At 38.4% G+C, this 22,042-nt stretch overlaps 1 protein-coding gene across 4 annotated transcripts in view; it reads right to left on the bottom strand.

Annotated features, from left to right (window-relative positions):
* Positions 1-22,042, bottom strand: part of U2SURP (U2 snRNP associated SURP domain containing) — a 59,156-nt gene that overhangs the window by 9,662 nt on the left and 27,452 nt on the right. For all 4 annotated transcript variants that reach the window (NM_001320222.2, NM_001080415.2, NM_001320220.2 and 1 more), the window contains 9 exons: positions 18,118-18,280; positions 17,714-17,793; positions 16,089-16,176; positions 14,960-15,082; positions 13,729-13,885; positions 12,861-12,956; positions 12,104-12,170; positions 7,788-7,947; positions 15-125 (listed from right to left, as the gene is read on the bottom strand). In NM_001320222.2, the coding sequence (NP_001307151.1) occupies positions 15-125; positions 7,788-7,947; positions 12,104-12,170; positions 12,861-12,956; positions 13,729-13,885; positions 14,960-15,082; positions 16,089-16,176; positions 17,714-17,793; positions 18,118-18,280 (1,045 nt within the window). The remainder of the gene's footprint in view (positions 1-14; positions 126-7,787; positions 7,948-12,103; positions 12,171-12,860; positions 12,957-13,728; positions 13,886-14,959; positions 15,083-16,088; positions 16,177-17,713; positions 17,794-18,117; positions 18,281-22,042) is intronic.

Genomic DNA, 22,042 nt, shown 5'->3' with positions numbered 1-22,042 from the left:
TACTTATTCCTTACTCGTTGAAGAAGTTTATCTCTGTAGTGTTCTACTTGCTCCTGAAAACTCTGGCCTGGTTTTTTAGGTCTTTTCCCAGATTCCAATTCATCCTGAAACTTCATAACTTTGAGCTGTGAAATAAAATATTTTAAAAATAAGCATTTTCATCATTCTAGATTCTCAAGCACTGTTTTGCTTCTTTTCTATAGCAAAGTAGTAACTAATTAGTACTCAGTCAAAATATAACCTCACCTGAAGGCCACTTGTCAGACAAGTCCAACTAGGCAAAAATCAGCTGACCAGATGGGAACCCTCTCTGGTCATGAGAGGACTCAAAAACCGTGAACCGTGCTTCATGGCTGTAAGAACTCACTTATTCTCTCAACACAATTATAACAAATTTGGTATCTGGTTCCCCAAATTAGAAAAGCAAGGTTGCTAAAGACACGCACACTGCCAGCATGATATGACAGTCAGAATGCAGATTAAACATCTTTAAAAAAGAGGCGGGGATGGGAGGTGGGAAGGCTGTGGCATTCTGGTTCAGCTCATGTAAGACCAAACACAAAGCTGCACACAGTCTGAAGGTTTCACTCACAGTGCAATCACCAGATATCAAAACACAAAGAAAAGGTTAAATCACATTTGGAGGGTACTTTATGAGACAGTAAGAGCAAATACTGATTAAAACAGACCAGGCCGGGCGCAGTGGCTCACGCCTGTAATCCCAGCACTTTGGGAGGCCGAGGTGGGCGGATCACCTGAGGTCAGGAGTTCAAGACCAGCCTGACCAACATGGAGAAACCCCATCTCTACTAAAAATACAAAATTAGCCAGGCATGGTGGCACATGCCTATAATCCCAGCTACTCGGGAGACTGAGGCAGGAGAATCGCTTGAACCCGGTGGGCGGAGGTTGCGGTGAGCCGAGATGGCACCATTGTACTCCATGCCTGGGAAACAACAGCAAAACTCCGTCTAAAATAAAAAAAAAAACCAGACCAGAAAAACTTCCATCTCTTATTACCTATATAAGTGCACAAAGGTATTTTACAAGATATTCATTGCAGCATTGTTTGTAAAAACAGACCACCTACATCTTTACCCAGAGATTTCTGGCTAATACACCTCCACACAAACAAATACATGTAATATACTTATATACTGGCAATGGATAAAGATCTGAAAAAACTAGTAAAATCAGTTACAGGGAGAGGAAAAACCTGCAATAAGTGAGCTTAATTTTACTTTTTATTCTGGAGATATAAGTATCTTAAAATTTTGTACTATATAAAAATAGTAAAAAGAATAAATTCATGATTTATTTTGAATTTAAAAATAAAAACTTCACAAAGTGGTTAAAATAAAAACTATCCTAAGGCTTAAAGGAGCTTAAATTATCCAAAAAATTTACAAGGGTGAAAATACCTTCTTCTTGAATTCTACGGGAGGACAAATAAGGTGAAAAGTATGAGGACCTGGAAGATCCTCCAAGTGGTAGAAAGCACATGGATCTTGGATGATACCACTGGGCTGCCAATCTGCTCAATATTGTTCCACTCAAAGAGAAAGAGGAAGCATTCTTGTCCCATGAAATTACTGTAGATGCTAACATTTTATCCTATTTTATTCAGACACTGATATATCCTTTAAATGGACTAAATGCTACTACAGCATTTTATTTATACTTCAAAAACAAGACTTCATTTGCTTGTTACCCCCCTTTATTACAAATTAGTCTTTACCATTTCTCCCCATTCCAAGTGGTATTTTCTTTCTTTTTTTTTTTTTTTTTTTTTTTTTTTGAGATGGAGTCTTACTCTGTTGCCCAGACTGGAGTGCAGTGGCACAATCTCGGCTCGCTGCAACCTCCACCTCCCAGGTTCAAGCAATTCTCCCGCCTCAGCTTCCCAAGTAGCTGGGATTACAGGCGCACGCCACCAAGCCTAATTTTTGAATCTTTTTTTTTTTTTTTTTAAGCAGAGACAGGGTTTCGCTATGTTGGCCAGGTTGGTCTCGAACTCCTGACCTCAGGTGATACACCCAGCTTGGCCTCCCAAACTGCTGGGATTACAGGAATGAGCCGCCATGCCCGGCCCCAAGTGGCATTTTCACTATTTTTGACTTCATGAATGTTTCTTATACGTTCTCCAATTCTGTCCTTTTTCCATCTATTTTCACTTTTTAATTAATTATTTTTTGAGACGGTGTCTCACGCTGTCACCCAGGTGCACTGCAACCTTGGCACACTGCAACCTCCGCCTCCCAGACAGTCTCCCAGGTTCAAGCAATTCTCCTGCCTCAGCCTCCATGCCTGACTAATTTTTGTATTTTTAGTACAGACAGGGTTTCACCATGTTGGCCAGGCTGGTCTCAAACTCCTGACTTCAAGTGATCCGCCCACCTCGGCCTCCCAAAGTGGTGGGATTTCAGACATATTTTCACTTCCATAATCAGGGTCTTTTATAATCAGAGCTTTGATGTTCTCTCCTTCTCTTCTTTCAAAGCTCTCTAAAAGTCTACATTTTTCGTGTGTTTTAATCATGACTGCATTTAAAAAGATAAGATGTAAGGCTGAGAAAGCAAGGGGGTGGGGTGGGCAACATAAATAGCTAAGTTCATCGCTGTGTGAAGCCTCTCGTGACCAAGATGACTCTTCCACAGAATGTATTTGTAGTAAATCAGTTTGCGTTAGAAAGAGTCAAACAACAGACCCAAATGTTACTTAGGGGAGAGAAGGGATTCCTAAGATAATCATTTTAAAAATCACTATACAATCCCTACTTATAGTTCCTGCTGATACAGTCTAACTGAGGCTCAAGCACAAGTCCAAGACACACAGAAAACAGATGATCAAGGGTCTCAACACAAAAGGAAGTGGCCCATGCAATGGCTTCTTAACTATCCAGCCCTTATTGCCTTCAGGCAACAGACAGGTATCACCTTCCAACTCAACTGTTCACTCTTTCCTCAGGGACCAGGACAGAAAGTGATCTCTCTCTTCCAACAAGACAGAAGACCCTCCACTTGGTTCCCCACCCACTATTCTACTCTTCCAACCTTGTTGGTAGAAATGGGGACAATAGTAGAATAAGAAAAGGAAACTCCAGCCTAGGCACTGCTCTCAGTGGTATGTGAAAGATTAAGAACTGGCTTCTGACCCCGTCCGGGAGGGAGGTTGGGGGGGGTCAGCCCCCCGCCCGGCCAGCCGCCCCGTCCGGGAGGTGAGGGGCTCCTCTGCCCGGCCGCCCCTACTGGGAAGTGAGGAGCCCCTCTGCCCGGCCAGTCGCCCCGTTCAGGAGGGAGGTGGGAGGGTCAGCCCCCCGCCCGGCCAGCCGCCCAGTCCGGGAGGTGAGGGGCGCCTCTGCCCGGCCGCCCCTACTGGGAAGTGAGGAGCCCCTCTGCCCGGCCAGCCGCCCCGTCCGGGAGGCGGGAGGGGGGGTCAGCCCCCTGCCCGGCCAGCCGCCCCGTCCGGGAGGGAGGTGGGGGGGGTCAGCCCCCCGCCCAGCCAGCCGCCCCGTCCGGGAGGTGAGGGGCTCCTCTGCCCGGCCGCCCCTACTGGGAAGTGAGGAGCCCCTCTGCCCGGCCAGTCGCCCCGTCCAGGAGGGAGGTGGGGGGGTCAGCCCCCCGCCCGGTCAGCCGCCCAGTCCGGGAGGTGAGGGGCGCCTCTGCCCGGCCGCCCCTACTGGGAAGTGAGGAGCCCCTCTGCCCGGCCAGCCACCCCGTCCGGGAGGGGGGAGGGGGGGTCAGCCCCCTGCCCGGCCAGCCGCCCCGTCCGGGAGGGAGGTGGGGGGGTCAGCCCCCCGCCAGGCCGGCCGCCCCGTCCGGGAGGGAGGTGGGGGGATCAGCCCCCCGCCTGGCCGGCCGCCCCGTCCGGGAGGGAGGTGGGGGGATCAGCCCCCCGCCTGGCCAGCCGCCCCGTCCGGGAGGTGAGGGGCGCCTCTGCCCGGCCGCCCCTACTGGGAAGTGAGGAGCCCCTCTGCCCGGCCAGCCGCCCCGTCAGGGAGGGAGGTGGGGGGGTCAGTCCCCCGCCTGGCCAGCCGCCCCATCCAGGAGGGAGGTGGGGGGGTCAGCCCCCCGCCCGGCCAGCCGCCCCGTCCGGGAGGGAGGTGGGGGAGGTCAGCCCCCTGCCCGGCCAGCCGCCCCGTCCGGGAGGTGAGCGGCGCCTCTGCCCGGCCGCCCCTACTGGGAAGTGAGGAGCCCCTCTACCCGGCCACCACCCCGTCTGGGAGGTGTACCCAACAGCTCATTGAGAACGGGCCATGATGACAATGGCGGTTTTGTGGAATAGAAGGGGGGGAAAGGTGGGGAAAAGATTGAGAAATCGGATGGTTGCCGTGTCTGTGTAGAAAGAAGTAGACATGGGAGACTTCATTTTGTTCTGTACTAAGAAAAATTCTTTTGCCTTGGGATCCTGTTGATCTGTGACCTTACCCCCAACCCTGTGCTCTCTGAAACATGTGCTGTGTCCACTCAGGGTTAAATGGATTAAGGGCGGTGCAAGATGTGCTTTGTTAAACAGATGCTTGAAGGCAGCATGCTCGTTAAGAGTCATCACCACTCCCTAATCTCAAGTACCCAGGGACACAAACATGGCGGAAGGCCGCAGGGTCCTCTGCCTAGGAAAACCAGAGACCTTTGTTCACTTGTTTATCTGCTGACCTTCCCTCCACTATTGTCCTATGACCCTGCCAAATCCCCCTCTGCGAGAAACACCCAAGAATGATCAATAAAAAAAAAAATAAAAAATAAAAAAATAAAAATAAAAAAAAATAAAAAATAAACTAAAAAAAAAAAAAAAAAAGAACTGGCTTCTGGCCACCACAACATCATATAGGTACAAGATTTTTGTGTTTTTACAAAGGATGTTAGTATTTTATAACACGAATCATTTGGTTTTTATTTATTCCATGCTACAAACTGTTCAGCTATAGGTATCTTTATTAGGACACACGTGGGGATGCAAAATTACAGTATATATACTATAGAATATAATAGAACTAATTGGAGAAACTGATTTAGAACTTTATTCTTAATTTAATGGTTCTCCAATAAAAGGGTTTGGATTCTAAATCTCGAAATGGATATCCAAATTTAGGGGCAGAGAAGAGAGCTAGTTGTGAAAAGCCCTGGGATAAAGCTCATGAGCTCCGAGTTCTAGTCCAAGTTTGCCACCTGTTGTGGAACTTTATTCCATATGACTAAATCTCTCAGAGGAAACACAAGAGAAGATTAGATAATTTTAAGATGAAGCCAAGATAAACATTTTAAAATCAGGACTTAGTTCATGGTCCAAATCCCAGAAAGACAACTAAGTTGTGAGAGGCAGTCACTATGAAAGCAGGAGAAATAATCACTGAATACATAAAGGACAGGCCAGATTACAAAAGAGCACATGAAGTATGGAAATGTATGCATATATGTGTGCAATGTGCATGCACGTGTATCGCATATATACGTATACAAGGTGGAAAGAATAAGGTTTGTAAAAACGACCTAAGTTAACAAAAAAGCTAAATTACATGCTTTCCTCTCTTTAAGTTAATAAGGAAACAGAACATACTAAACAGTTGGGGCATTTATATGAGGGAATAGCTTGTATTATCAAGAAAATACACTTCTATTTAACTCAAGTCTATTTCTACTCCAACAGTTTTCATCAGGTCAGAAAGGGAGTGCTCTTTTTTTTTTTTTTTTTTTTTTTGACGGCGTCTCACTCTGTCGCCCAGGCTGCAGTGCAGTGGCATGATCTTGGCTCACTGCAAGCTCCGCCTCCTGGGTCCACACCATTCTCCTGCCTCAGCCTCCTGAGTAGCGGGGACTACAGGTGCCCGTCACCATGCCCGGCTAATTTTTGTATTTTTAGTAGAGACCGGGTTTCACCGTGTTAGCCAGGATATTCTCGATCTCCTGACCTCGTGATCCACCCGCCTCGACCTCCCAAAGTGCTGGGATTACAGGCATGAGCCACCGCAGCTGGCCAAGGCAGAGCTTCTTATAAGGTGAGAGGAGTAAAAGAGGAGCATGTGTAGGTTGAAAAGGTGCACAGGTGAGTGTGTTCACTGACACACATCTTATCCCCTGAAAAATATTTAAAATGTATATGAATACATCCCAGGAAAAAATAAATCAACTAATCAACTCTGAAAATCCTTCATCTCTACTTAAAAATGACACCACGCTGACTCTACATAAGGTTAAAACAAAATGCTGTCTGTTTACTTTTCAGTTTGGTGATGTCTGACAAAGAGGTGGGCAAGAACTTTTATCAGCCCAACAGTGACTATGTGGAGAAGTGGCAATGAGGTAACTAATGTGATAGGTATCATAAGTTAGTAAGGGAGATAGTACTGACATACAGTAGGCATTCAAAAATACCGTTCAATGAATGTATACAGTATGAAAATTCACTCTCATACATTCTTTAGAGGTTTGAGACTGATTGCTAAACTACTGCTAGCATTTACTGGGAATATTTCATCCCCTTGAGGGCATTACAAAGCCCTTCTCTGAGATGTCTGAATAGCCTTGGACAAAAGAAAAGGCATTTAAAAAGGAGAGGGTGAGACCAGCCTGGACAACATAGTGAGACCTCATCTCTATCCAAAAAAAAAATTAGTCGGGCTTGGTGGTGCACATCTGTAGTCCCAGCTACTCCAGAGGCTGACATGGGAGAATCTCTTGAGCCTGGTGGTTTGATGTTGCAGTGAGCTATGGTCACACCATTGCACTCCAGCCTGGTCAACAGAAAGAAACCCCGTCTCAAAAAAAAAAAAAAAAAGGAGAGGGGAGAGGGGAAAAGGGAAAGGGAGGGAAATGTCTGCCTGAGATAGTCTGGGCTCTTCTATACATTTCCCCATCTTTTAGTATTAAGACCCACTCAATGTCTATTCTCCTTCATATGGTACAGACATTAAAAATGAGCCTAATAAAATGTAAACATAACAGAATATGCCAGAAAATATTTTACTTTTTCCTAGTTGCATAACTATGAACACTCAAGATGAAATGGATTTCTTGCCGGGTGTGGTGGCTGACACCTGTAATCCCAGCACTTTGGGAGGCCGAGGTGGGCGGATCACGAGGTCAGGAGATCAAGACCATCCTGGCTAACACGGTCAATCCCTGTCTCTTCTAAAAAAAATACAAAAAAATGAGCCGGGCATGGTGGCTACTCCGGAGGCTGAGGCAGGCGAATGGCGTGAACCCAGGAGGGAGAGCTTGCAGTGAGCCGAGACTGCGCCACTGCACTCCAGCCTGGGTGACACTGCGAGACTCCATCTCAAAAAAAAAAAAAATGGATTTCTCACAGTACATAACACATAATGTATTACATATATATATATATATATACATATAATCTATACATTAGAATCCATTTCTTCAGAGGATCTCCTATGTGTCATGTATTAGACATACAATGATAAAGAGAAAACAGACATGGCCTTTTCCCTTCATGGAAAGTGCAGCCTAATGGGGAAGACAGACATTAAATAAGCAAGCAAGCAAGTAAGCAAACAAACAAAATACACATTCACATACATACCCCACAATACATATAAAATCACACAGAAATAAATAGGAAGAAGCAAGTAAGTCCAAAAGGGTAAGAAAAGGCTGTGAGTGAACAGACGGTTGAACTAAGAGGCCTGAAGAAAAGTCATCTGGTATGAAGAGTTCTAAGCAGAGAGAAGGAACAGTATGTACTACGGTACAATGCAAAGAGGCAACTTAGTTTGGTGGAGAAAGTGAAAAGCCAATAAAGTGTAATTTAAGTTTCACTGCAACACCAACCTCAATTTCACGAAGTTTGGCTCGTTTTTCCTCACTCATTTCAGAGTACTTAGAGAACTTAGACTCAGTCATTTCTTCTTTGATTGGATTAGAGTACAAATGATGTTCTTCAGATTTGGAACTTTGAGTATCTTCTTCATCTTCACTTTCTTCTTCTTGACTTTAGAAACAAGCAGAATACATTGTATGTCAAGGCAGCAAGAGAGTACCATATTTTACAGTCTACCTATTTTATTTTTCATTGTCTTAGAGCTTAAATAACATAGCCAAAACATAATAGGACAATTCATACCTCAAGCATATTTTGCAAAATATTTTATCAATATTTTACAGACAATTTTATAAAACACTTCTTTCCTCCACAGAAAATGTGTGAGCTTCAACATAAGCATACTGTAATAAATTCTGCTTATGTTGTTATCTGTGTGCCTTCCATTTGCAACAAACTTTCCTTGCAGCAGTTAAATGAAACGAATAATCAAGTTTCTGCATACTTCACAGTTCAGAGTGATTTCAAGAAGCTTTATGTTCTCCATTCCTGAGTTATTTCACTCATATTGTGAGCAACAATATTCACAAATATTCTATGTTCTCATTTATAAGTGAAAGTTAAGCTATAAGGATGTAAAGGCATAAGAATAATACAATGGACTTCTGGGACATGGAAGGATGGGAGGGGGGTGAGGGATAAAAGACTATATATTGGGTACAGTGTACATTGTTCAGGTGACAGGTGCACCAAAATCTCAGTAATCACCACTAAATAATATATCCATGTAACCCAAAACCACTTGTACCCCAAAAACTTTTAAAATGAAAATTAAAAAAAATTAAAAATAAAAAAAGCTGTATGTGTGCCTTTAGTAACTTCAGCAGAGCCTATAATCAATCTAGAAAATACATGAGCTTGAGTCACAGAGTTACTAAGAAATAACCAATACAGCTGGTAAAGACCTTATCTGATTAGCACATAACCTTAATAATAAAGCAATGTATGCATTTTATATATTAGCAAATACCGGTATTCACATTTCAGTTGATTCTGAAAGTTGCACTGGTTCTGGGTCAGACAAGAAAATAAAAACCTGAGAGACTATCATGAGTAAGTCACTTAGGATACAAAGAAGAAAAATTCTCCTGTCCTTCCAGAAGCAGTCTAGTGGAAACACAAACAGGCAACTGTGTGTAAAGCTGGTCATCAATGCTAGTACAGGATTAACCAAATGTTCTTGAAGCACAAAGAACAAATGGTTTTTTTAAAAAAAATACATTCTGAGACTGGGTTGTGTGTGTGTGTGTGTGTGTGTATACTATTGGCAAATAAATCTGGGCAAAACAAGATACCCATATACAAACAAACTCAGAATGTTTATATATATACAAACAAAATTCCTTACAAACAATGTTGACTGTGATAACATTACTGGCATAACCCAGAACAAACGCTGTTTTGCCTTTAATACTTGAATCTCGCAAGCCCTTCTATGTTGGTATTTGGGTACTAAGGACATTCTACGATGAGCAGAAAGATTCCTTTTAATATACATGTAGAATTATTCTTAATAATGTAAAAAGTTATAATCAAATTCTTTCCAAATAAAATTTAATTAAAGTCTTATGTAATAAGACCTTCATTGTATGAGAGAAAAATTTACACCAGGCAGATAAAAAGAAAGGCTGTCAATTCAGAATCAGAAAAGATATGGTACTGAGAAAACTCTGATACTAGCTTTTAAATTTCTCAACCAAAGGTCCTTTCTAGACATTACTAAAATATTTTACTAACTTCATCTTCAGAACCACACAAATCATTAATATCACCATACAGGTACAACTCAATACAATATTAGCTAAGGAAGAAAAAAGTCCAAACCAACAGTTTAAAAATATTCTTCTTGGAAAAAAAGTTTTACTTAATATTTCTCATTAATTTGTCATAAATTTCCTAAATACAGTTTTTAGTTAATTTTTTTAAAACACAAGAATTTCCTGTTTTATGGTACATAAAATTATACAAGTGTTTCAGATGCTTTTAGATTGAAGTGTATGTGTGTTTATGTAAACAGGGATGTTTACTGAAGAATTATTCTAGAAGACTCAATAAGGACGTGACTTTGTTAAACTGAGTCACAGTTACTATGAAACAATAATACAGCAGATATTGATTACTTAACCAATTCTAGCCTGTAAAATTTTTTCTAATTTTTTTTTGCAATTTCAAATATTCTTTGGTAAACATCCTTGTATGTTTACCAAAATGTTTGCTTTCAATCATAGATGAATACAGAACAGGTAAACAGATTAAAATGGCATAATACCAATGACATTGAATGAAAAACGTGTCACAGAATAGCATGTACAGTAATATTACATCATTTATGTCAATAGTTATGCATGTTTTTATACACACAGAAAGGGTCTAGATGGCTGAACATTAAACATTTAACCATATTACTTAAGACTTTTTAAATGAGCTCTATTCATGATTTAAAATATGTAAATATTTTAAATTGCTATTATAATTTTTTCAAGGCTTAAGCAGTTTTTCTAAACTGGTTTTGGCCTTAGCTTTTAGCCACAATTCGAGGTTCAAATCTTATCACAGCTTCTTCCTCTTCTTTTTTTAAAAAGACATGCAAATTCAAGATTCTAAATCCATACAGTATTCAATACAAATGAAACTGCTTTTTGTAACTTTTCTCCAAAACATGCTTTAAAAATCACATTTCTGCCACGAATCACAATATTGCCACAAAATATAATAATTACTAGTTACAAAATCAGCCTTAAGTAAAAAGACATTTAGGATTCAGCCACTAGAGAGTAGTAGTGAGGCATGAGAACATTTCAAGGATCACAAGCTGCACAAAAGCTTTTTTTCCTTGCTTTGTACTTTGTTATTTTTACATTATCATGATTTACCTGAAATTCCTAAGAAAAATGAAAAATCTAAAATTATACTTCTAGTGATCCAGGCTTCCATTAATGTATGCGTATTCCAACATCAATGCTAAAATGTATTCATATTCCAAACATTAACACAAATATCAGTTTTATGCCAAAAAACTAATACCTTTAGAAATAAAACTAATAGAACAATACTTTTTTCAGTTCAACGGCTTTTCTACCCTTCCTTCCCCCTAAATTAAATAATTATTTTATGAGTACGTATACTACTTTTAAAGCAGTGATTCTAAAATGGTAAGATGTTACTAATCATAGGATCACGAACATAAAAAGGGTTCAGAAAACCACTGTTTTAAAGCAAACTGAACTAAACGGTTCTCAATTTGTGTATTCCTAAACAGCCTCAGATAGGTATTTCCATTAGCAAGCCACATCTATAACATTATGTAAATATTTTGTCATCATCATTGCTGACTTGTTCTAATCACACCAACATTTCTGAAAAAACATCATTGTAGACAAGTTTTCACCATCGTATCAAACTGTGTTTCTATAGCCTGCTGATTGATCACATTTTCCCAACAATCCAAATGCCCATTTATTAAATCCACACAAATGCCCATATTGTGCTAGGACACACAGGGGTTTTCTCTTTGTTCCCACTTCCATTGGAGAATAGAAGAACGCAAAATTTTTAAAGACAGTAACCTGTGCTTTGTGTTTGTGATACCATCTCTTCCTACTCATTTAAAAAAAAAAAAAAAAAAAAATTCAACTCCCTTTGCAATGATTTTAAAAAGTGTCAAGAACTTCCTAAAAACTGCCAATACAGACTTGCAGGAGAATCTGAGAGGAGAGATTCCTACAACCACACAGTGTCAAATACAAAAACAATTTTGGGGTGATTACCAAACAGCAAAATCAAAATTATTATTTCTCTATATTTCAAAAGAAAAGATTTTTTCCTTTGTATTCATTCTTAGTTCTTCTGAAAGGTTTATATTTAAATAACACAATGGCCATAATGCAATCTTTTTCTTAGAATGTACAATCCAAAAGAAAGGAGTATAACCTTTCCTATTCACATTTTAAAAACCACTTTTTATGGAGCCCAAAACAGTATTTGATGGCAAAGGTTTGAAAAAAATGCAGTTGACCAATTAGTAACTACAAAGTGAGAATATAACCTAGCGTAAAAAACTCAAAAGCAAAATGAAACCAGATCCATCAAGACCAGAAAACAAAAGCTCTTTATTCACTGGAAAACCAATGGAGAACTAAAAATGATCCTCTCCCAAAATTTTTTAAGAGTGAAGTTTTCCACTTCACTATTATTTCAACTATATCTCTTAATGAAAAGGGGAGTGTATATGAACAAGAAACAGTATATTCAAAACTTAGATTCTTACTTTTGATTTTCTTCTTCTTCTGATTCTTCATGCTGGTCAAATAATTCCCATTTAGAAGTTGTAACAGCTGAATGAAAGGAAAAGGAGGATGTAATTCCACGAGGTAAACTAGCATTTTTTCAGTAGTACAGTGGAAGCTCAAGCTTTAGAATTGAAAAGTTTATATTACAGAAGTTTTTTTAATCTATGTTTATCAATTCTCTAAATAGTTATTTCTATATGCCAAATCTCTTTCCTCACACCTACAATATAATTCAAATTCATGAAGTGACGAATAATGTCATCCTTATTTCTGTGTTGAATATTAAGATTTATTTCATTAGAACCTACAAATAGCAACAATTAGATTATTAGCACTAGGATACAGGTCTAAGTAAGTGTGAAAGACAGGTCTAAATTGCATCTAATCAGTCTAGCATTATGGGAGGGTCAAAGCTTGGTTTCTATGAAACTGACCTCTATGTAGATTTCTACGTAGGTACAGCTTCCAATCTACATTTGCTACTAAAATGCCTTAACCTGAAAGGTTTTCAGTGATATCTCATTACTCTCAAAGCTTCCAAACTGAAGGACCTAAGAAAATTGTAACAGCAACACCAACCACAATAAAAGCATACATTAGACACAAAATATGACAACATTGAGCATTAAGGTTAAAACGTGTTATAAAACATAAAAGGAAAACATATATACAAGCACACCAATAATTAACGTACAAGTACTTAATTTAAAAAATATTTATTTTACTTTTACTCACCCTGTGCTTCCAATTCAGATTCATCCACAGCTTCCCATTTTGATGGGGCAACTTTAAATATAGGCTCATTCTTTTTTGAGTCTTCAGTTGCATCCACTATTAGGGAAAGATAAGCCATTAACCCTGACTACTAGTGGATGACCCGAAGTATTACATTCATGGGTATTCACCATATTATTAAAAAGCAAAGTAAAATAAGGACACAGATGGACAAATAGTAATACTAAGAACAAGGACTATGACTAAACCAATTCTCTGCATCTGAGGGCAATATTTTTAACAGTATATATATCAATTCAGAAAATACAGGTTAGTAATATATTAAGCAAGTGAAGAAGTTGAGAAGTAAAACAAATCTTTAATATCTTTACCTAATCTCTGAAATATAAAACTGCATACATTATTCAATATTTAAACATATAATTCAAATGTACCAAAGAGCTGTCTACAGTTCCTATTTTCAAAATGATTTTAGGCAGCTAGGAAAACTGAAGTTGTAAGTTAGAAAAACTAATAAAAACTGATAAAACCAGGTACCTAGGATCATGCATAACTGAGCACAAGATTTTGCCTATAATTTCCTGACAAGACAAAAAGAGAAACTTGCTAATATTATAGGAGGCTGATTGTCCCAGCAAAGAAATGTGACCAGAAAAAAATGCTTCTTCTTGGCCTTTTATATACATAGCATACAAATAAATGTATTACTGGGTATATGAATTTTGAAAAAAATCAGAAATAGAAAAGTTAATAACTTGATACGTTCATGAGAAACTATAACCTTTTTCCATATCAGCATGTATGGAAATTAGAGTTTTGGTCACCAAATGTATTAGCTAGATTTAATCAGTTTGAAATCTGAACTTACAAGGCACTCCATCAAGATCATCATCAAGACTTTTTATAGGGACTCCATCAAGATCATCGATGGGAGTAGCATCAATAGGAATTCCATCTACATCTTCCAGAGGTGCACCATCAAGCTCTTCCTCGATGGGGGCACCATCAAGGTCATCTGGAACATCCTATGGAAATGTGTACTATTATAACATTTTCCTTTGCTTGCTGAAGTCACATTGCTTGTAAGATTAATTTGTAATCCAGTACAAGCCAACATAACTGGATACCCACAATCTGAGGTACAATGTAAGAACATATTCTATCATCCAGTTTGCTAAAGAAGCAGTCAGTTGTGCATTTATCTAATATTTACCAAGTGCTCACTGGTGCCAGGTACCTTGTGAGGCAATGATGAGCAAAAACAAGTTTGGTCCCCCTGTTATAGAGCCTGGTAAAGGTTTTTGCTGTTGTTTTGCAGGGGTGGGGGAACCAGGAAATCAGATCATCACAACAATATATACTTATCTGTAACTATGGTAACTGCTACAGCAAAAGGGCGTATCATACTATTAGCATACTAAGTTTCACTTAAAGAGGTCAGAGAAGGCTAAGGTTATGTTTGAGCTGAGATCTGAAGGATCTCAGGTGAAGATAAGTCCCAGAAAGAGGGAAGGACATGTACAAAGTCCAATGGTAGGTGGAAACACACATTTAAGAAACTGAAACAAGGACCACGTGGGTTGCAACAGTAAGGCCAATTAGGAAGATCCTGCAGGAGTGAAAGTGAAAACATAATAGCTTGACTAGCATGGCAGAATTAAACATTAAGGATTCAGTAATTATTTAGGAGGTAAAAAAGAAAAAAAACAACAGAATGGTGATGTATATCTGCTATCATGTGATGCATCTTTTCATGCACATATTTTACTTATATAGCTATCTTTAACAAAATAAAGTCATGCTATACATATTGCTCTATTACTTGCTTATTTTCTACTATTAACAATATATCATAACTCTTATATCATTAAATAAAAAAAACACTCACCAATTTTCACATAAGGACACAAGACAGAGAATTCCTGTTACATGTAATTTTGACTTCTGGGTTCCAGCAATAAAAATCCACTACTTAATGGTAAGCAATAGATATTTTTCACAAAGAAATGTACCTCACATATGTAACACAGAACAACTCCAAGAAACCTCCACCCCAGAAACGAATTTTAAAAACAACCAGACAAATACAGACTGCCTACCTCTGTTTCCTTTTCTTCAATAATATTTACAAGTCCTAAGAAAATATTTTGTAGTTTGATCAAAAATGGTTCTGGATAAATTGCCCAATCTTCCCATGCTCTGAAGCAAGTCATTACCCGTTGCTAAAGAAACAGGAAACAGACAACAAACTTTTATTTTGGGCTATATGTCTCAAATTTCAGTTCATGAGAATGATCATCAAGATTTGCTAAATTTGCCTTTAAACTGATGTTTTTTTAAACTTTAAAGAAAATAACTATATATCATTACCATATTTTTTAAAAAAATCAATGTCACCTTCTAATTAAAAGGAAAAAAACCCCTAAAAATAAATATAATGAAAAATAAACAGTAACTATTTGCTCTTTACCACCTAAGGTCAGCTCCCATACCATTAGTACTACCCATGAGCCACATTCCAGAAACACTTACATAGAAACTTACTAAAACTGGAAACCAAAGTAGCCAAGTTTTGACCTGAATCCCTTATGGTCCAATAAAGTACTTCCTAATTCTGGCTAATACTTTACTCTGTATCTTCCTGAAACTTGTCTTTAAATTCTAACTTATGGTCAAAATTTAAGGTCAAAAACTTTTAAAATGGGAGTTGTCTGAATGCCCTAAATGGTGGCGTCACTGGGCATCTTCCGAAACTAAAAATTTTTCTTAAAAAAGTCTTCTTCCCATGAAAGCATATTTACTTATTCAATTATAAGTGAAGTACTACACTTGGCTTTTCTTAACACTGGTCTAGAGCTTAAGAGGTTATAAAAAAATTGGTAACAGAATAGACTTTCTAAACATGATTAAAATGTATGTCTTTAATCCAGCCAAATAGTATATACCATTACAAAACAAGTGATTCTTCTGTATGTTTTATGAAAAAAGACTAACATTTATAATTTTTAAACAATATTTAAAACTAAAATTAAACCTGACAAAATAGTATCTTTTAAATTTTTGATTTGATAAAAACAAAAACGACAGAATTTTAAAACAGTAACTTCTGTAACATCTAAGTTTTAAATTTATGTCTCATACTTGTCTTATGCACTTTTCTAGCCCTTCAATGCCCTCCCCCCACCCATTTAAAACACTAGGGCAAAAATAGTAAAACAATAAACGTACCTTAAAGTTTTCAGATTGTAAATGGCCTTGAATTGTACGATAGGTGGCATTGAGGTCTGAAAATATCTGACATAACTTTGTTTCAAAACTGAAATTCAAATAACACATTCTTTAAAATAAAATGTTTAAAATTCCTTTCCCTTTTAGCATGCCAGCCAATGAAAACCCCTCCTGAACTTAAAATACTTACAAATCAAGAAATTATTAAAAATCAAAAACTAGGTGTTTAAACTCTAAAACCGTAACTGAATTGCTTGAACTCTTATTACTCTGAATTTTTCTCCTACAAACTCCCCAACAGTCCCTACTAGTTCCCTTTACGAGCAAGAAACGTTATATCTAGGATATGCTGAACCATCTCGTCCAATTTCTTTATTTTATAAAACAGAAAACTTAGAAAAGTGACTCGTCCAAGGCAAAAAAACTAATAGCAGACCTAAGAGTAGGATCCAGCTCTCTAAATTTCTTTTCAGAGCAACATCCTAGGGAAAAGCTTCCCTTTGCCTAATTCATAAAATAAACACAGAAAGAGAGCTCTGGGGAACAGAGGAAAAGTTATACTTTTTTTTTTTTGAGATGGAGTTTTGCTCGTCACCCAAGCTAGAGGACAATGGTGCCATCTCGGCTCACTGCAACCTCCGCCTCCCGGGTTCAAGCGATTCTCCTGCCTCAGCTTCCCGAGTAGCTGGGATTACAGAGGCACACCACCACGCCCAGCTAATCTTTGTATTTTTACTAGAGATGGGGTTTCACCACGTTGGCCAGGGTGGTCTCGAACTTCTGACCTCAGGTAATCAGCCCTTCTTGGCCTCCCAAAGTGCTGAGATTACAGGCGTGAGCCACTGTGCCCAGCTGAATTATACATTAATTATAATACAGCAACGTAACTTCCTTTTGCCTTAGGAAACATTTACAATGAACTAAAATCAATATGCTGAGGATCAGAAGAGAACACAGATTCTATAGTTAATAGTATGTCTTTGGTCTCTTATGTTTGCCAGTATATACACTGTTTCTATTTATTATATGAATAGCTAGATATGCAATAAAGTTCTCTTTAACACCTATTTGTTATACTGTCAATAGCTAAGAAAGTGATATGATATAAAATCTTTCCAAAAAATTGGTAATTTAGCTTAAGTGTAAGCCAATTTTTTAAAAAATTCTACAAACCATTAAGAAATTCAAATTAGTCTTCCCTCAGTATCCATGGGGGGACTGGTTCCAAGACCTCCCATGGACACCAAAATCCACAGATGCTCAAGTTCCTGATTGAAAATGGCATAATATTCACCTGTAACCTATCCTCATCCTCCCATCTGTTAAATCATCTCTAGGTTACTTACAATACCTAATACAATGTAAATGCTATGTAGAGTTTTCATACTATATTGTTTAGAAAATGACAAGGAAAAAAGTCTGTACAGGTTCGGTACAGATACAATTTTTCTTCTCAAATATTTTCAATTCATGGTTGGTTGAATTCATGGATAAGGAACCCACAGACATGGAGGGCTGACTGTACTTCTTATTCTTGCAGGATGTTAACAAAACAATCCTCTTTTCTGAACTCCTTACCCTTAAATACTTTATTTCAGGAATATCAGTTATATCATTATACTTACAATTTTCTATAATATGAAGCATTAGCAACTTTGGCTGAAGAGTTGTACAAAACATCAGAAACCAAATATAATCTGGCAATCTATAATATCAAAAGATAACACAAAATAGGTTAATATAAGGCTAATGTTTAGCTATAATTTAATTATGGCTACTAATTAGAAGAGTTATATGAAGCTCAGTATCACCACAACTATGACTCTGGCAGAGATGAAATTTGTTAACCCATTTACATTTCAACTTGTTTGTTAACTTGTATGTTAATGAACCTAAATTTCCAAGCAGAAATAACATAAGACTGCATGGGAAAAATCTCATCAGTCAAGTGCTTTGTGCAAAAAGGAAACCAATTCTAATCCCAAAAGACGTCAACTATCTCCCCTTTTCTTAAAATTCATTCCCATACCTTTTTAGGAAGGGGTGTCTTTAAGATGGACAACGACTCAGTAATGCAATCCACTATTTCTTCAGCAGCTTCAGCATTATTAAGACAGAAAACCATTGCATCTCCAATATCATTTTTCCTTGGAGTTAATCCCCGCAAGATTTCTTCCAATTTATCCCTCTGTCTGAACATAAATTGTTTTAACTTATAAATATTTAGATACAATTTCAAATGCCATTGTAGCTTTTGCTCACAAACTAATTTCTTTAAAACCTACTCACATAAAATAATTCTGAAGACTGTAATACATTCAGTCTGATTTGTGTTGTGTCCCCCAAAATTGTTACAATTTTTTGAAGAATTTATATAAGAATACTCTGTAGAATAAGATTCCAATTATGTTTTCAGCTTACAAATTAAGTAAATTTAAAATCATACGCATTTCTTCAAGCGTCTTTAAGAGCACCCCAGTCTTACCATCCCATGATACTGAAGAACTTTCATGTTCTTTACTCCCCTTCTTTGAAGGAAGTCTATTACTTTAACACTTCTGCCTGGGATTACGACAGGCTAATTTTTTCTGTAAAGGAAAAGACTGGCTGGGTGCGGTGGCTCATGCCTGTAATCCCAGCACTCTGGGAGGCCAAGGTAGGCGGATCACAAGGTCAAGAGATCAAGACCATCCTGGCCAACATGGTGAAACCCTGTCTGTACTAAAAATATAAAAATTAGCCAAGTGCAGTGGCAGGCACCTATAATGCCAGCTACTCGGGAGGCTGAGGCAGAAGAATTGCTTGAACCTGGGAGGCAGAGGTTGCAGTGAGCCAAGATCGTGCCACTGCATGCCAGCCTGGGTGACACAGCAACACTCCATCTCAGGGGAAAAAAAAAAAAAAGATTACAAATATTTTAGGCTTTGCAGGCCATATGATCTCTATCCCCCTGCTGGCATAGCACCAAAGCAGCCAGACAACATGTAGGGAAGGGAATTGACTGTATTCCAGTAAAACTTTATTTTCCAAAACAGGAGGCAGCCATATTTAGCCTATGAGCTGAGTTTGCAGATCCTAGGATTACAGTGATTATGAACATACATCTTCAGAAGTAAATACACTCAAACAGTATCACACTCCATTGCCAAATGCTCTCATAGGCAATGAATCAATGCAACAAGTATTAAGATTTATAGACTGCAGTGAAGTACATACAGGCATATCTCAAAGAGACGGATTCAGTTACAGACTACTGCAATAAAGCAAATATCACAATATAGCCAATCACATAAGTTTTTTGATTTCCCAGTGCATGTAAAAGTTATGTTTATACCATATTGTAGTCTATTAAGTATGCAATAGCAGTATGTCTAAAAAAACAATGTACACATTACTTTAAAAATACTTTCTTGTTAAAAATGCTAACAATCATCTGAACTCTCAGTGAGTCATAGCATTTTTGCTGGTGGAAGGTTTTGCCTCAATGTTGATGGCCAACTGATCAGGGTGGTGGTAGCTGAAGGTTAGGGTGGTGGTAGCTGAAGGTTAGGGCGGTGGTAGCTGAAGGTTGGGGTGGCTGCAGCAATTTCTTAAACAATAAAGTTTACCGCATCAACTGACATTTCTCATCACAGGGGATTTCTCTGCAGCATGAGTTGTTGTTTGTTAACATTTTACCCAGAGGAGAATGTCTTGCCAAACTGTAGTCAATCCTCTCAAACCCTGTACTACTTTATCAACTAACTTTATATATATTCTAGATCCTTTCATTTCAACAATGTTCACAGCTTCTTCATCAGAAATACATTCCATCTCAAGAAACCACTTAATTTGCTCATCCCTAAGAAGCAACTCCTCATTTATTAAAGTTTTATCATGAGATCACAGCAATTCAGTCCCATCTTTGAGCTCTACTTCTAATTCTAGTTCCCTTGCTATTTCTACCATATCTGGAGTTACTTCCTCTACTGAAGTCTTAAATCCCTCAAAGTCATCTATGAGGGACTAACTTCTTCCAAGCTCCTGTTAATGTCGATTTTTATAGGCAAAAAAACTGAAACGGATTTTTAAGATTTTTTTAAATTTCTTTTTAATAGAAATGGGGTCTCACTATATTGCTCAGGCTGGTCTTGAACTCTTGGCCTCATGCTATCCTCCTGCCTCGGCCTCCCATAGTGCTGGGATTACAGGTGTGAGCCACCACACCTGGCCCACAAATGTTCTTAATGGCATTTGGAATGATAAATGCTTTCCACAAGGTTTCTGACTTTTTCCCAGACCCACTGGAGGAATCACTATCTATGGCAGCCACAGCCTTATGAAATATATTTCTTAAATAATAAGACTAAAAGGTCAAAATTACTCCTTGATCAATGGGATAGAGAATGGATAATGTGTTAACAGGCATGAAAACAACTTAATCTCTTTGCACATCTCCATCAGAGATCTTCAGTGATCAGGTACATTGTCAATGAGCAGTAATATTTTGAAAAAAATCATTTTATTGAGCAGGTCTCAACAGTGGGCTTAAAATATTCAGTAAACCATGCTGTAAACAGATATGCTGTCATCCAGGCTTTGTTGTTCCATTTATAGAGCACAGGCAGAGTTGATTTAGCATAAATTCTTAATGGTCCTAAAATTTTTGGAATGGTAAATGAGCACTGGCTTCAACTTTAAGTCACCAGCTGCATTAGCCCCTAATAAGAGAGTCAGCCTGTCCTTTGAAGCTTTTAACCCAGGCAGTGACTTCCCCTCTCTAGTTATAAAAGTGCTAAATTACATTTTCTTACAATAAAAGGCTGCTTTGTCTACACTGACAATGTGATTTAGTGTAGCCACCTTCATCAATGACCTCAGATCTTCTGGATAATTTGCTACAGCATCTACATCAGCACTTGCTGCTTCACCTTGAACTTTTATATTATGAAGATGGCTTCTTTCCTTAAACCTCAAAAACCAATCACTGCTAGCTTCAAATTTTTCTTCTGGAGCATCCTCACCTGTTTCCACAGAATTGAAGAGAGTGGGCCTTGCTCAGGATTAGGCTTTGGCATAAGGGAGTGCTATGGCTGGTCTGATCTTCTATCCACACCACCGAAACTTTCTATCAGTAATAAGGCTATTTTGCTTCCTCATCATTCATGTGTTCATTGGAGTGGCACTTTTAATTTCCTTTAAAAACTCTTCCTTTGCATTGATAACTTGGCTCACTGTTTGGTGCAAGAGGCCTAGCTTTCAGCCAACCTCATCTTTTGACATGCCTTCCTAACTAAGCTTAATCATTCTAGCTTTTGATTTAACGTGAGAGAAGTGAGACTCTTCCTTTCACCTGAATACTCAAGAGGCCATTGTGGGATTATTAACTGGCCTAATTTCAATAGTGTTGTGTCTCAGGAAATAGGGAGGCCTAAGGGAAAACAGCTAGTCACTGAACAGTCAGAACACACCTTTTTTGATTAAGTTCATCTTCTTATATGACCATAGTTTGTGGTGCCCCAAAACAATCAAAGATCACTGATCACCATAACAGATACAATAATAATGAAAAAGTTTGAGCTATTGTGAGAATTATGAAAATGTGACAGACATGAAGTAAGCACATGCTGTTCGAAAAATAATGACAACAGATTTGTTTGACTTAGGGTTGCCACAAACCTTCAATTTATAAAACACACTGTATCTGCAGAGCACAGTAAGTCAAAGCGCAATAAAACTAAGTATGTCTGTACTTAATTCTATATTCTAAAAATGCTTTTAGCCAATGTTTTCCCATGAGGTATACAGGATGTCCTCTGAACATTTAATAAGTATGTTTTTGCTTCTTAAACCAGCTAGCTGCACTGTACAATTGTTAAGTGAGACTAATAACAACACATACTTCCATGGTGGCCATCTCACAGCTCACCACACACTGCAAATCAAGTGTGAAAGTTATCATGTAGCGGCTTTGC

The sequence above is a fragment of the Homo sapiens genome, chromosome 3 (assembly GCF_000001405.40).
Source record: "Homo sapiens chromosome 3, GRCh38.p14 Primary Assembly".
Lineage (NCBI taxonomy): Eukaryota > Metazoa > Chordata > Mammalia > Primates > Hominidae > Homo > Homo sapiens.
Note: the sequence above shows the minus strand (reverse complement) of the source record. Positions and strands in the feature narration are given on the sequence as shown.